Source organism: Homo sapiens, chromosome 19 (genome assembly GCF_000001405.40).
Source record: "Homo sapiens chromosome 19, GRCh38.p14 Primary Assembly".
NCBI lineage: Eukaryota > Metazoa > Chordata > Mammalia > Primates > Hominidae > Homo > Homo sapiens.
In genome coordinates, this window is record NC_000019.10 from 6,377,770 (window position 1) to 6,393,639 (window position 15,870).

The following is a 15,870-nucleotide window of genomic DNA, read 5'->3' on the forward strand; positions in this document are numbered from 1 at the left end:
TCCAGCCTGGGCAGCAGCATGAAACTCCGTCTCAGAAACCCAAAAAACAAATTAGCTGGACCGTGGTGGGGCGTGCCTGTCATCCCAGCTACTCAGGAGACTGAGGTAGAATTGCTTGAACCCAGGAGGCGGAGGCTGCAGTGAGCGGAGATCATGTCACTGCACTCCAGCCTGGGCGACAGAGCGAGACCCCATCTCAAAAAAAAAAAAAAAAAAGCCTGAAGTCACCCAGAATTAAGCAACGGTCCTGGTATTTGAACCCAGGTCCTCCGTGAATGCAAAACCCCTGCTCCTCACCACAGGGCCTCACCACCCAGCCTCCTTACATGAAGGCCCAGGCAGTGGGGGTGGCTGGGGCGAAACTGCTGAGGCAGCGGCTCCCTCCAGAGCTGCCTCCCTGCTGCCCAAGAAGGCCTGGTGGGAGAAGGGGGAGGGAGGTTGGCCTGAACTGGGACATTCCGAGGAATTAGCCAGACATCTCAGGCATTCCTGCTCGGCAGCCAAGGGCTGCAGAACTGGGTGGGGAAGACTTCCACCTGCAAGTTTCCAACCACCGGCAAGACAGAAGGGATTGCCCGGAAGATGGGTTCAAAAGTAGTGGCTGCAGGCAAATTCCATTTCCAGCCATATTAATGTTTCCAGCCACATTTTCCAGTTCCATTTCCAGGAACTGGAAAAGCCCTCCCTTACAGAATGCCTGGCAACGCCAGATCAAATATATGCATGACCGAGCTTGTAAGAAGGGAGAAGCCCCCCGAAACATCACCGGGAACCTCAAACATAGGGACCCACAATCGGGGCAGTGGGGGGGGTTGGCTTTGGTGGCCACCTGCAAGCTGAGAACCACACACAAAATGGGCTGGGGCTGGCGCTCCTGGGTAGCTAGCGAAAGCCAAGGCTGAACCATCTGGAAGGACTGCCTGCAAAGTAGGCCACCCCGGATTCCCACAGAGCCCCCAGCTGGCCATGAGCATCCAATCCCAAATCACAAGAAAATCTATCACTAAGGGGAGTCAGAAGAAACAAAAGGATGCCCGGGAACTTCAGCTTCTAGGATTGTCAGACCTCAGTCAGGATGAGTAAAATAAAAACATCAGCCAGGCGTGGGTGGGTGCAGTGGCTCACGCCTGTAATCCCAGTACTTTGGGAGGACGAGGCAGGCAGATCACCTATGGCCAGGAGTTCGAGACCAGCCTGGCCAACATGCTGAAACACCGTCTCTACTAAAAATACAAAAATTAGCCAGGCGCGGTGGCGGGCGCCCGTAATCCCAGCTACTCGGGAGGCTGAGGCAGGAGAACTGCTTGAGCCCAGGAACCAGAGGTCGCAGTAAGCCGAGATTGTACCACTGCACTCTAGCCTGGGCAACAAGAGTGAAACTCTGTCTCAAACAAAAACAAAAACAAAACACATTAGCCAGGCATTTAATGGTACACGCCTGTGGTCCCAGCTACTCAGGAGGCTGAGGTGGGAGGATTGCTTGAGCCCATGAGTTCAAGACTGACCTGGGCAATACAGTGAGACCTCACCTCTACAAAAAATTAAAAAATTAGCTGGGCGTGGTGGTGTGCACTACTTGAAAGGTTAAGGTGGGAGGATCGCTTCAGCCCAAGAGGTGGAGGTTGCAGGGAGCCAAGACGGTGGACACTGCAATCCAGCCTGGTGAACAGAGCAAGACCCTGTCTCAAAACCTAAAATATAAATAAAAATAAAACCATGAAAGATGGGACCAAAACATAAGGAATAAGACATTATCCAAACAGAGTAGCAGATCTAAAAAGGAAACAAAGAAATCTGAGCAATTTATTATTATTTTTTATTTATTGAGACAGAGTCTCACTGTCACCCAGGCTGGAGTGCAGTGGCGTGGTGTCAGCTCACAGCAACCTCCACCTCCCAGGTTCAAGTGAATCTCGTGCCTCAGCCTACGGAACAGCTGGGACAACAGGCTCCCGCCACCATGCCTGGCTACTTTTTTTTTTTTTTTGTGCCAGGATTTCATTCTGTCACCCAGGCTGGAATGCAGTGGCACCATCATAGTTCACTGCAGCCTTGAACTGGGCTTAGCCTCCCAAGTAGCTGGGACTGCAGGCGCTCACCATCATGCCCAGCCAAAACTGAAGACTTACTGGGCTATGTGGTGGATAAGTCACAGCTGAAGAGAGACTTAGGGAAGTGGAAGGGAGAACTGTAGAAGTTACCCAGTGGGCAGCACAGGCCCTTGGTCAGTGTGAGGGAGGCCGAGCCAGGAGGAGGAGGACAATAAGAAGGCCTAACAGGCATCTGAAGATTCCAGAAGGAAGGGCCAGAGGAGGAGATGGCTTAACTTTTCCAGAATTGCTAACTACGGGGCCCTGGGAGTCAGGGAGCAAGCAGGATGTCGAAGGGTCACTGAGAGCCTGAAGTTCTGGAGGGCAGAGCCATGTATTGGACAGAGCCTCACTCTAGGATGGCGAAGGGGCAGTGAGAGCCTTAAGTTCTGGGGGGCAGAGCCATGTATTGGACCAAGCCTCACTCCTTGAGGGAGAAGTGCATTTTGTCGTTGATCATCTTGCGCTCGGGGTTGAGTCGCTTGAGGATCTGGGCCAACACGTTCACTGTCTGCTCGCTGCTCAGCCCTGTCTTCTTGGTCTGGAACTTTTTCAGCAGGTCCTTAGTGGTCATGGGCTTCCGTGTCAGGTAGCGGCGCACGGCATCCTCAGTCACCTGCACGTCGCTGAGGATGGGAGGACGGGGAAGGTGGCATCAGTGAGATTGTCCCCAGTAGCCCTTGCCCTGCCCCCTGCTGTCCTCGTCAACTTACCCGCTGTTGGGTGTTGTCTTGCCTGATGGTGGCTGGGGTGTCGACTTCCCAGACAGGCTCTGGGGTCCCGTGTCCAGCCGCAACCGCTTGGCTGCAGGCATCTCGCTCACCCGCTTCCCTGTGGGAGTGGGGTCAGGGCTGAGTCTTGCAGGCAGGAGGCAGAACCCCTGGGCAGGACCCCAGGCTGGGCAGTGCCAGGATTAGGGTTCAAGGGGATCAGGGAGAGACAGGCCTCCACCCGCATCTCCATCCCCTCTCTGTCCTGAGCCCCAACAGAGGTCAGGAGGCTGTGGCTGTGGCTGTGGGGAGCGGGGAGGCCACGGGCACTCACCTTGCTCGAGTTTGCTGGCAGCCGCCCGCAGGGTGGAGGAGGTGCTGCCACCCTCTGCGCTGGGCGTGCCTGGGCGGCTGTTGCCCCTTGAGCTCCCTCCCGACGGCTTCCGCTCTCTCTTGGGTGGCGTCTTCTTCTTCTGCAGAGGTCAGGGTTGGGAGGTGGGTGAGTCTGCAAACAGACGCCCAGGCCTCCCCCGCCACCGGGCTGGGCCTTACCGCCATGAAGAGGGCTGAGGAGGCCTCGCTGTCAATGTCGCTCTCCTCTGAGCTGTCCGACTCCTCGCTGCTGTCTGCGGGGCACAGGAAAGGGGTCAGGGCCAGAGCAACCCCGGGACCCGGTGCCCACTGGTGCCTCCACTGCAGATGAGGGAGGCCTGCAGGGGAGAGGGGAGGAGGTGGCAGGGCGCCAGGGCCCGACCCAAGCCTCCAATATGGGGGCCACATGCGCCGCACCTTTCCTGCGCTTCTTCTCCTGCGGGGTGGGTGCCTTCTTCTCCTCCTCCTCCTCCTTGTCCTCCTCAGGCGGCTTCTCCTCCTCACTCTCCTCACTACTGTCGCTCTGCTCATCGACACCTGGGAGGGGCAGGGTATGAGCAAGAGCAGGGAAGCACCGCCCCCATCTCCCCGGCCCGCCCAGCCATCGCCTACCCTTGGGCCCCTCCTCCTGCTGCGGCGCCTTGGCCTTGCTCTCAGGCTCTTCTTGGGAGCTACTGTAAGACGGGGATGGCAAAGGATGAGCGCGCGCTCGCGAGGCTGCATGGGGTCTCGCAGGCGCCTCCCGTCGGCCTCACCTGGAGCCGTCTGACATGTAGTCCACCTCTTGGCCCTCGAAGTCCCCATCATCGCTGTCCTCGAAGGCCTCGTCGTCTGAACCCTTCTTCTTCTTCTTTTTCCTGCCGCCCTTGGCCAGCGGCGCCTTCTTCTTGGCCTTGGGGACTCTGCCCCCTGGGAAGGGAGGAAAGGAAGGAAAGGAGGGAAAGTGAGGAGGAAGGCAGTGGGTATTTATTGTGTTTTTCACATTTTGTGCAGTTTTGACATCCTGGGGGGCCTCACTGACTGGGGAGACTACACCTCCAGGGCCAGCCCAGGAGCTCAGCTCTCCTAAACAAACTCCCGGCAGACCCCACACCCCCACCCACCTTCTCTAGCGCTCACAGACCACTCCCCCTCTCCCAGACCACCCGGGCGAGGCACCTGATAACCAGGGACACAGCCCCTACAGCCCGGAGCGCACAGGAGTTATTGAAACTGGTCAACCTAGAGTTGCAGTTTCTCATAGGAACCCCCGTAAAGGCCACAGCCAGGCCAGGTGCAGTGGCTCATGCCTGTCATCCCAGCACTTTGGCAGGCTGAGGCGGGAGGATGGCTTGAGCCCAGGAGTTTCAGACCATCCTGGGCAACACAGTGAGTGAGACCCCAGTCTCTACAAAAAACACAAAAATTAGGCCGGGCGTGGTGGCTCACGCCTGTAATCCCAGCACTTTAGGAGGCCGAGACAGGCAGATTACCTGAGGTCGGGAGTTTGAGACCAGTCTGGCCAACATGGTGAAACCCCATCTCTACTAAAAATACAAAAATTAGCCAGCATGGTGGTGCATGCCTGTAGTCCCAGCTACTTGGGAGGCTGAGGCAGGAGAATCACTTGAACCTGGGAGGCAGAGGTTGCAGTGAGCCGAGATTGCGCCATTGCACTCCAGCCTGGGCAACAGAGCAAGACTCTGTCTCCAAAAAAAAAAAAAAAAATTAGCCGGGTGTGGTGGTGCACGCCTGTAGTCCCAGCTACTCAGGAGGCTGAGGTGGGAGGATCGTTTGACCCTCGGAGGTCAAGGCTGCAGTAAGCTGTGATTGTACCACTACACTCCAGCCCATGTGAGAGAGAGAGAGATCCTGTCTCAAAAAAAAAAAAAAAAAAAAGAAGGGCCATGGCTCAGCTCTCCCGGGCTCTGGCCTTGCCTCCTGACTGACATCACTGCTCCTCCAGGCGGCCTCGCCTGACTCTCATTCTTTTTTCTCTGAGACGGAGTCTCTCTCTGTTGCCCAGGCTGGAGTCCAGTGGCGTGATCTCGGCTCAACACAACCTCTATCTCACGGGTTCAAGCAATTCTCCTGCCTCAGTCTCCCGAGTAGCTGGCACTAGAGGCATGCACCACCATGCCCAGCTAATTTTTGTGTTTTCAGTAGAGACACGGTCTCACTGTGTTGGCCAGGCTGGTCTCAAACTCCTGATCTCAGGTGATCTGCCTGCCTCAGCCTCTCAAAGTGCTGGGATGACAGGCGTGAGCCACTGTGCCCGGCCCCACTTGCCTCTCATTCTAGGGCCACTGTGAGCGATGGTAGACTTTGCCTTCACTGGCACTGCCTGAGCAGGCACCTCTGTGACCTAATGCCCAGGCGCCCGTACTCACCCTCCTCACCACTGGCATCACTGGCATCGGACGACATCTCCAGGTCGTCCTCCAGGTCGTGGATGCGCAGCTCGCTCGCCTTCCTGCGGCCACGTTTCTCCTTCTCCTCCTCATCCTCGTCCTGGTCCTGATCCTTGAGCCGCCGCTGCTGCATGATGCTGAAGTGGTTCAGCACCTTGTTCCTCCTGCGGGCCAGGCACAGGGGGGCTCATGCCGGGCCTGGCACCACCCTGCATCTGTGCTTGCAGGGGGCGAGCCCCAGGGCACCACCCACATAGCCTTCAAGGTGATGTGGCCCCCGGGGACTTGGGCTGTGGCACAGGACTCCCTGAAACCACACGGATAGAGCCAGCCCTTCCTGCCTTCCCGTTCTGCCCCGAGTCCCTCAAAGAGCAGGTCCCCATGTGCTGCTGGAGTCTCAGCACCTCCCTCGGACTCAGAGTCTGGCCCCAATCCAGTCACACTGGTTTCTTGCTATTTTTTATTATTATTTTTTTATTTTCTGAGACAGAGTATCGCTCTGTCGCCCAGACTGGAGTGCAGTGATGTGATCTCGGCTCACTGCAACCTCCGCCTCCTGGCTTCAAGCAATTCTCCTGACTCAGCCTCCCAGATAGCCGGGGTTCCAGGCGCCTGCCACCACGCCCAGCTAATTTTTTTTTTTTTTTGTATTTTTAGTAGAGACAGGGTTTCACCATGTTGGACAGGCTGGTCTCGAACTCCTGACCTCATGATCCACCTTGGCCTCCCAAAGTGCTGGGATTACAGGTGTGAGCCACCGTGCCCAGCCAGATCTTTTGTTATCTTAATTTATAGATGTATTTTTCTTTAATGACAAAACATACTGTTTCCATTGGAACAATGTAACGTTGTCTCATTGCTCAGGGAAGCTTTAAAAAACAGGACTGCAGGCCAGGTTGGGCGCGGTGGCTCACGCCTGTAATCCCAGCACTTTGGGAGGCCGAGGCAAGTGGATCACCTGAGGTCAGGAGTTTGAGAACAGCCTGAACAACATGGTGAAACCTCATCCCTACAAAAAATTAAAAAATTAGCCGGGCGTGGTGGCATGTGCCTGTAGTCCTGACTACTCAGGAGGCTGAGGGAGGAGAATCAATTGAACCCAGGAGGCAGAGGTTGCAGTAAGCTAAGATTGCCCCACAGCACTCCAGCCTCGGTGACAGAGTAAGAATCTGTCTCCAAAAAAAAAAAAAGGACTGCATTTAATAGGAATGCATCTAACATGGGCAAGGCCCAGGCTGGTGTGAAAGATAATGAAACTGCTGCTTAACACTGTGAGTGGCTTTACCACACTGAGCCATGCACCAAAAAACAGTGACAGTTTGGTGCAGTGGCTCAAGCCTGTCATCCCAGCACTTTGGGAGGGGAGGCCGAGGCTGGAGGCTCGCTTGAACCCAGGAGTTTGAGACCAGCCTGAGCAACATGGCGAGACACCATCACCATTTGTTCTTTTCTTTTCTTTTCTTTTCTTTTGAGTTGGAGTCTTGATCTGTCACCGAGACTGGAGTGCAATGGTGTGATCTCGGCTCACCACAACCTCCACCTCCCGGGTTCAAGCAATTCTCCTGCCTCAGCCTCCCGAGTAGCTGGGATTACAGGTGCCCGCCACCATGCCTGGCTAATTTCTGTATTTTTAGTAGAGATGGCATTTCACCAAATTGGCCAGGCTGGTCTCTTGGCCAGGCTGGTCTCGAACTCTTGACCTTGCGATCCGCTCTCCACGTGCCCAGCCTGAACAGTTCTTAGCTAAGTAGATTTAACATCTGATCAAGAGATGGCATTCTGGCCGGGCACCATGGCTCACACCTGTAATCCCAGCATATTGGGATGCCAAAGCGGGCAGATCACTTGAGGCCAGGAGTTGGAGACCAGCCTGGGCAATATGCTGAAACCCCTTCTCTACTAAAAGTACAAAAATTAGCCAGGTGGGGAGGTGCACGTGTGTAGTCCCAGCTACTCGCAAGGCTGAGGCAGAATCGCTTAAACCCAGGAGGTCGAGGTTGCAATGAGCCAGTGAGCTGAGATGGTACCACTGCACTCCAGCCTGGGTGACAGTGAGACTGTCTCAAAAAAAAAAAAAAAAAAAAAAAAAAAGAGATGGCATTTCTCCTTTGGTTAACATCCAGGTTTTACACAATTCTATAAAATGCCAAATTCTTCTCCCTAAAACTTACAAAGCAGATTCTAAGGAAAATACAGCAAAAGCGAACCTGCCCCCCCAGCAATGATTGATCGACTGATTTTACAGTGGAGCCCCAGGAACTCAACCAAAGTGGAGCAGGCAGGCAGACCTGGGGGCTGTTGTTCCAGGGGAGCAGGGGTACAGAAACTGCCCCACAGGCTCGGAGGCTCATGACCTGGTGGGGAGGACGCTCTGACTTCGTGCCATTTACCGGGGTTGCTTTTGGAGCTGAGCCAACCTATGACTCTTCAGAAATTTTAAAACCAAAGAAAATGATTAAAAACTAAAGCAGGGGCTGGGCATGGTGGCTCACGCCTGTAATCCCAGCACTTTGGGAGGCCGAGGCAGGCAGATCACGAGGTCAGGAGATCGAGACCACGGTGAAACCCCATCTGTACCAAAAAAATAGAAAAAAATTAGCCGGGCATGGTGGCAGGCGCCTGTAGTCCCAGCTACCCAGGAGGCTGAGGCCAGAGAATGGCATGAACCCGGGAGGCGGAGCTTGCAGTGAGCTGAGATCGCGCCACTGCACTCCAGCCTGGGTGACAGAGCGAGATTCGGTCTCAAAAAAACAAAACAACAAAACTAAAACAGGCCGGGCGTGGTGGCTCACGGATGTAATCCCCACACTTAGGGAGGCTGAGGGGGGCAGATCACCTGAGGTTAGGAGTTTGAGACCACCTGGCCAACATGGTGAAACCCTGTCTCTACAAAAAATACAAAGTTAGCCAGGCGTGGTGGTGCATGCCTGTAATCCCATTTCTCTACTTGGGAGGCTGAGGCAGGAGAATTGCTTGAACCTAGGAGTCGGAGGTTGCAGTGAGCTGAGATTGCGCCACTGCAGTCCAGCCTGGGCAACAAGAGCGAAACTCAGTTCAAAAAAAAACACACAAACAAACAAACAAACAAAAAAACACCAAAGAGGGAAAAAGGTGTTTTATTTGTTTTGTTTTGAGACGGAGTCTCGCTCTGTCGCCCAGGCTGGAGTGCACTGGCAACATCTAGGATCACTGCAAGCTCCGCCTCCCAGTTCACGCCATTCTCCTGCCTCAGCCTCCCGAGTACTGGGACTACAGGCGCCCGCCACCATGCCCGGCTAATTTTTTGTATTTTTAGTAGAGACGGGGTTTCACCGTGTTAGCCAGGATGGTCTCGATCTCCTGACCTCGTGATCCGCCTGCCTTGGCCTCCCAATGTGCTGGGATTACAGGCGTGAGCCACCACACCCAGCCGAAAAAGGTGTTTTTTTAACCTTTGGGAGCCATCGACTCTTTGAGCATCTGCTCATCTGTGACCTGTGCAAATGCCATTTGTAGATGCGTCCAGAGTGCCCTCCCCACCATCTGCAAGCACCCTAGGGTGGTGGTGGCCCTACGGTCTCATCCAAAGCCATACATCCAAGACCAAGTGCTCTGGGCCCCCAGCCTCGTCCCCCTGCCCACAGTCACTCTGCACTGGCCTCATGCACTGTGTCCCTCCACAGCCCTTAACTGCACCCGCCCCACCTCTGAGGCCGATGTCACTGCTAGAGAAACCCTCCTCGGGTGCCCTGCCTGGAGCTGCTGCCCTGCAGTGGATCAGGCTGTGTGACCTGCAGCCTGCGGAAAGCCAAGGGGGCAGTTAGACCCCACCCTGCTCTGCCAATTTGAGCTCCGGGTCACAGACTCTGGCTCTGGCAGCACCCTCTGGGGTGCCCCATTGTGGCCCTAAGGCCTCCTATCTGTTTCCTCCTGAACTGACAGCTCTGAGACGGCCGAGTGGGGTCTGCCCTGGTTACCCCTGAGTCCCCAGCTCCCAGCACAGGGCCTGGTGATATATCCATGGCAAGGCACCCCATTTCCCTCACTTCTGTCCCCAGCCACCACCCAGCCCACTCACCTCTCCCACTCCTCCTCGGCCTCCTCGGCAGTGAGCGTGCGATGCCGGGCCAGCGGTGTGAAATTGTACCAGTTGTGCACGGGGAAGGCCTCGAAGGCCCCGTCGGGGCACTGGGTGAAGATGTAGTAGGACGTGTTCTCTGTTACGCCTCCCTTCTTGATGCCCTTGAACCTGCAGGGAGCCACGGTCATGGCCTGGCCCATAGGGACCAGCCCCAGCCCCCCCGTGTCCCCCCGGGGCCTGCCTCCTTTATGGCACTTGCCATAGGAGGAAGACCAAGAAATGCCCATGAGGCCTGGGCAGGCCCTTCAACCACCTGGGCCTCGTCAATTTCCACATCTGGGGAACAGGGCCGGCGCACCTACCCTGCAAAGTGCTGGGCGTGTGCACATCGGGATCATTTCTGGAAAGACTGTGTGAGATTATCTCAGGAGAGCCCAACCCTGCAGTCAAACTGTCTACATTTGCCTCCAGCTCTGCTATCTGTGGGCCACACCCGGGAAACTGAGGAGCCAAGTGAGAAGATGGGGCGGGAAGGCATGGCCAAATTTTTTTTTTTGAGATGGAGTCTCGCTCTGGCACCCAGGCTGGAGTGCAGTGGCACCATCTCAGCTCACTGCAACCTCCACCTCCCGGGTTCAAGCAATTCTCATGCCTCAGCCTCCCGAGTAGCTGGGATTACAGGTGTCTGCCACCACACCCAGCTAATTTTTGTAGTTTTAGTAGAGACAGGGTTTCACCATGTTGGCCAGGCTAGTTTCGAACCCCTGACCCCACGTAATCCGCCCGCCTCTGCCTCCCAAAGGGCTAGGATTACAGGCGTGAGCCACCGCGCCCAGCCATGGCATGGCCAAATCTGAAGTGGACACCTGGCCCGGGCCACCATTTCCTCAAGCCTAAACAACTGCCCAGCCTCCTTGAGGCCTCTACCTCATTCTTTTCTACCCCAAAGTTCCGGACAGTCTGGGTGAGTGCCTCTTCCCTGCCTACAGCTTTCCAAGGCTCCGCTGGACCCAGCACATCCTGGCACCCACTGCCCTGTGTGAGCTGCCTGTGTCTGTCACTATCACCCAACTGCTGTGCCTGGAGCACCCTTCATCAACCTAACCTGGACCCCTCCTGTTCTGCCCTCAGTCTGCCCCCTCTGAGAGGTCATCTCAAGTGTCATGAGCTCCCAGGGCTGGCCACCTAAGCTTCCTGCATTGTGGCACTCAGAGCTGCCTCAGAGCCAGGCACAAGCACCAACTCAGTGAACTGTCTTCAAAAACACAACCCCAGGGCCTGGGCAGTGGCTCATACCTATAATCCCAGCACTTTGGGAGACCAAGGTAGGAGGATCACTTGACCCCAGGAGTTCAAGACCAGCTTGAGCAACGCAGCAAGACCCCATCTCTACCAAAAATACAAAAATTAGCCAGGCATGGTGGGGCGTGCCTATAGTCCCAGCTACTCAGGATGCTGAGGTGGGAAGATCTCGAGCCCAGGAGTTGGAGCCTGCAGTGAGCTACGATCGCACCACTGCACTCCAGCCTGGGCAACGGAGTGAGACCCTGTCTCAAAATAAATAAGTAGGCTGGGCACGGTGGCTCACGCCTGTAATCCCAGCACTACGGGAGGCCGAGGCGGGAGGATCGCCAAGTTCGAGACCAGCCTGACCAATATGGTGAAACCCTGTCTCTACTAAAAATACAAAAATTAGCTGGGCGTGGTGGTGGCAGGCACCTGTAATCCCAGCTACTCAGGAGGCTCAGGCAGGAGAATAACTTGAACCTGGGAGGTGTGGGTTGCAGTGAGCCAAGATCGTGCTACTGCACTCCAGCCTGGGCGACAGAGCAAGACTCTGTCTCAAAAAAATACAAGTAAGTAAAATAAGATAACATAAATAAATAAATAAATAAATAAATAATAAAATCCTACAGGGATGGAAGTGCCAGCACTTCCACTGCAGCAGTGGGAATCTGAGGTTCAGAGAGGGTACCCCACAAAGTATGTAAGTTGAGGCCTGGGGATGTGGACTGGTCACTAAGCCGGCACCGCCACCGCCCCACCACTTACTTCCTGCCTGATTTGCCGTTGACCCGGAGCAGCCAGGGCTGGTCCTCGGGCCGGAACTCCTTGAGGACGATGCCGTACTTCTTCCTCCGAGCCTCCTCCCGAAGCTTGCGGTTGAACTCACTGCCCGCGCCCGATTCGGGCATCTCCTCCTCTTGGTAGATTTTCTTGTTGCTCAAGTCCCGCTCCAGCCGAGCCTAGGGGAGCAGGAAGCAAAGCCTCTCAGGGTCCCTGGCTTTGCTTGCGCAGTGCCCCCCTCCAGGAACGCCCTTCCTTGCCCTAGGCCAAGCTCTAGATTCTCAAAACCAACTTACCACTTGGCAACAAGGGAGGAGAACGGTAGCCTTTGACAAATCTGGGTAAAGGGAATTTGGGCGAGCCTTGCGCTCTATTTTTGCAACTTAAAAGCTTGAAATTATTTCCAAATTAAAATTAAAGAGAAAAAGACCACCTGGTGACCATCAAGCAGGCCATCGGAGGCAAAATTCCTTATCTGAGGAATGTAGAAGTAATTAATTAGACTTCCCTATTATCTACAGCAGGCATCTGGTTCCAGGATTCTTTTCAAAAAATGTCTAAGTACCTAGAATTTCCACACATCTCTCCAGAATGCATGCATATCGAAACTCATTGTGCTGTGGCTCACACCTGTAATCCCAGAACTTTGGGAGGCCAAGGCAGAAGGATCACTTGAGCTCAGGAGTTTAAGACCAGCCTGGCATCAGAATGGCTTGAACCTGGGAGGCGGAGGTTGCAGTGAGCCGAGATCATGCCACTGCACTCCAGCCTGGGTGATAGAGTGACACTCTGTCTTAAGAAAAAAAAGGCCAGGCGCGGTGGCTCACGCCTGTAATCCCAGCACTTCGGGAGGCCAAGGCAGGTGGATCACGAGGTCAGGAGATTGAGACCATCCTGGCTAACACGGTGAAACCCCGTCTCTACTAAAAATACAAAAAATAAGCCGGGCATGATGGCAGGCGCCTATAATCCCAGCTACTTGGGAGGCTGAGGCAGGAGAATGGCGTGAACCCGGGAGGCGGAGCTTGCAGTGAGCCGAGATCCTGGCGCTGCACTCCAGTCTGGGCGACAAAGCAAGACTCAGTCCCCAAAAAAAAAAAAAAAAAAAAAAAAGACCAGCCTGGGCAACATAGTGAGATCCTATATCTATTTCCTAAAAATAAAAAGGCTGGGCATGGTGGAAGGCTGAGGCGGGTGGATCACTTGAGGTCAGGAGTTCAAGACCAGCCTGACCAACATGGCGAAACTTCGTCTCTACTAAAAATACAAAAATTAGCTAGGCGTGGTGGTGGGCGCCTGTAATCCCAGCTACTTGGGAGGCTGAGGCAGGAGAATGGCTTGAACCTGGGAGGTGGAGGTTGCAGTGAGCCCAGGTCGCGCCACTGCACTCCAGCCTGGATGACAAGAGACTCCATCACAAAAAAATAAAATAAAATAAATAAAAAGAAACTCATTGTGCAACACTTGCTGACATTAAGGCACCAAAATCTCTACAAATTAACAATTTATCGTGACCTACATGGCTAATGTGATCCGAATTACCCTTAAGCTCTTGATTTAAGGTCCATATATACCATTTCCAAAACACTCTAGAATCAGCCACATCTCATAACCTCCACTGCCTCCAGTGCCCTGCCAGGACTCACCTAGACCAGTCCAGTTGCTTCTACCTTGGTCTCCGTTTATTTGCCCTCAAACCCACAGTTTGTCTCCCCATAGCAGCCAGATCACACACACTACAACTTCCCAATTGAAGATGCTTTAATGGCTCCCAAAGTCCTTTCTAGAGCCTCTGATGGCAGGGGCTCTGGGAAAGCCCCCAGCCCAGTCCCCTCCCTTGCCCAGATAAACCATGGCCAAAAATGTCCAACAGTGGGCACAGCTTCTAAATGTTCTCCTTTAAGGAGAGGCCTCTGGTGGGCCTACCAAACCTAACTTACAGGGACACCCAGGAGCTAGGCCTGGGCCTTTGCCATTTCCGTTTTTTTTTTTTTTTTTTTTTTTTTTTTTTTGAGGCAGGGTCTTGCTCTGTTATCCAGGCTGGAGTGCAGTCGTACAATCATAGCTCACTGCAGCCTTGAACCCCTGGGCTCAAGCGATCCTCCTACCTCAGCCTCCTATGTAGGACTACAGACCCACGCTATCAGCCCCAACTAACTTTTTAATTTTTTTGTAGAGTTGGGGTCTTGCTATTGTATTGCCCAGGCTGGTCTCAAACTCCTGGCCTTAAGCAAGCTTCCTGCCTCAGCCTCCCAAAGTGCTGGGATTACAGGTGTGAACTACTGCACCCAACCCTTTGTCATCTATCTTTTCTTCACTTGGAGAAAAGTGAGAAAATTAAGACTTAGTGACTATGACAGTTAAGCAACTATCACAACCACCAAGGTCAGGGTCAAGTTCTCTCACCACCCCAGCCCCTGACCCCCAGGACTCAGAGACTTACCTGATTCCACGTAGCAAAGTTGACTTTGTCGGCTGCATTAAAAGCCATGATGTTATATTTTTTGGTTGTATTCCTGGAGTGGATGAGAAGAGGTAGTGTCAATCCAATACAGCAATTCAATCATTAATTTAATCAGTCAATGCTATTGAACCATTAATTCAATCAACCACCCAACTGGATCGTTAATTCAATCAAATCATTACTTTAATTCAATCACTCAATTCAATTGAACCATTAATTCAATTCAATCATTCCATTCAATTGAATCATTAATTCAATTCAATTCACTCAACAAACCCACCCAGCTTCATTCAGCCTGTTTTGCCTGGCAACACTGGATACGGAAGACTCCAAGGATTCCCAGTCTGCCAGAGAAGCTAGACCCATCCTCTCCTGACCCCAGGCAGAAGAAGAGCAGATGGAGGGACGAAGATTTGGGGGAACCCAAGATGTGGAGATTATTGTGAACTCAGCCTTGGGGAGGAGGGAGGACAGGCAGGGAGTATTTCCTGGAGGAGGAAGATACTGGAGTTGAGTTTTGCAGAATCATCAAGAATTCACCCAGCAGAGTCACAGTTTAGGGGTTGAGGGGAGGCACTCATGGCAGAGGAACAGGATGTACAAAGGCCTGGAAAGGAAAGACAGCCTGACCACTTTGAAACAGGACGAGGAATATGTCCTTACAGCTGGCCTGGGCATCATGGGACCATATACTCCTCGAAGGTTAGGCCAGGGGGCTGGATCACCGTGTATTAATGCACTCATTCATTCATTCGTTCAAAAAAGCAGTGTTGTCCCCAGAGAAGCCTCAGCTTAATCCCAGCCCTGCCCTCCAAGTCTCTCCCGGTCTGGAGGGAGAACCACAGACAGGGCCAGAAATGGCTGGCTAAGAAGATCGTGAAGGTTTTCATTTTTGGGGGGTGGAGAGGAGTGGGAGATGGGGCTGGGGACTTACTTAGGAACTCGAACGACGTATTCAGTGACATTCTGGCTGCTAGGGCCCTGCGGAAAGAGGAAGCGGTGAGTGAGGGGTCGCCGAGGTCGCCGTCGGAACCCCCGAACCCCGCCAAATCCACACTCACTAGGGCCGCCATGGGCAATGGTCAGTGGTTCCGATCTGGTCCGACCCGGGTTCCTTTCGTCTCCTCTGGCGTGCGCGTCCCTCGATCCCGGGGAAGCCGCCGCTCGGTGTCGGGTCTCTGTGCCTGAGCGAGGACCCCAACCCTAGGCGCCTCTGGCGCTGGGAAAAGGTAACCGGAAGAGGCGCTCAAGCTACTCGGTCTACGCTTCTGCGGCCGCCTAACCCGGAAGCGAAACCCTCGAGCAGCCGCGTCGCGATGGCAACCTTCTTAGCGACTGTGGCCACCTCAGTGCGCAGTCACTTATGCTCCTCGGCGGCTATGGTCACCTCAAAAGGTCCACCGCGGTCCCTTTTTAGACTCAGCAAACCTAGGCCGAGTCTGAGATAAACTAACGGGCCTCTGTCGCTGGCGCTCTTGTATATAACGCGGTTAACTTCATCAAATGGGGGACCGCCCTCTCTCGTGACGTCAGCACCCAAGGACCGTGGGGCATCCTGGGTGGGAAGAGGGAGACGAATCCCCCTTGCGGGCTCCCAGGCACTTTGCGCATGCGCCTTGCCGCTCTGGACCTGGGGGGCCCAGAAGGCCGCGTCACCATAGCAACCGAGGCCTACTCGGGTCGGGTCGAACCGCCGCTTGGCTCCCCATGGGTCTGT

The 15,870-nt window shown here is 54.3% G+C and overlaps 1 protein-coding gene and 2 non-coding genes across 4 annotated transcripts, besides 1 other annotated feature; all 3 read right to left on the reverse strand.

Annotated features, from left to right (window-relative positions):
• Positions 1–1,802: 1,802 nt before the first annotated feature.
• Positions 1,803–15,395, reverse strand: GTF2F1 (general transcription factor IIF subunit 1). Of its 2 annotated transcripts, NM_002096.3 has the most exons (13): positions 15,215–15,395; positions 15,088–15,134; positions 14,133–14,205; positions 11,675–11,868; positions 9,620–9,790; positions 5,542–5,726; positions 3,928–4,081; positions 3,785–3,846; positions 3,590–3,709; positions 3,353–3,426; positions 3,135–3,273; positions 2,804–2,921; positions 1,803–2,716 (listed from the first exon to the last, which is right to left on the reverse strand). In NM_002096.3, exons 1-13 carry the CDS (start codon positions 15,224–15,226, stop codon positions 2,512–2,514), a joined length of 1,554 nt encoding a protein of 517 aa, NP_002087.2. In that variant the 5' UTR covers positions 15,227–15,395; the 3' UTR covers positions 1,803–2,511. The 2 variants fall into 2 exon arrangements, with proteins under 2 accessions (NP_002087.2, XP_047294666.1); XM_047438710.1 differs by lacking the exons at positions 15,088–15,134; positions 15,215–15,395 and adding an exon at positions 14,434–14,643.
• Positions 9,263–9,763: an enhancer, noted in NCBI's record as "H3K4me1 hESC enhancer chr19:6387043-6387543 (GRCh37/hg19 assembly coordinates)". NCBI's record gives its function as "activates a minimal SCP1, AML or CMV promoter by ChIP-STARR-seq in naive H9 embryonic stem cells {active_cell/tissue: H9 hESC(naive)}" and the evidence as "EXISTENCE:reporter gene assay evidence [ECO:0000049][PMID:30033119]".
• MIR6885 (microRNA 6885) lies at positions 11,869–11,934 on the reverse strand. The gene has a single exon (NR_106945.1). It is a non-coding gene; the product is annotated as a microRNA 6885 (primary transcript).
• MIR6790 (microRNA 6790) lies at positions 15,152–15,214 on the reverse strand. Its single transcript, NR_106848.1, has one exon. It is a non-coding gene; the product is annotated as a microRNA 6790 (primary transcript).
• Positions 15,396–15,870: the final 475 nt, after the last annotated feature.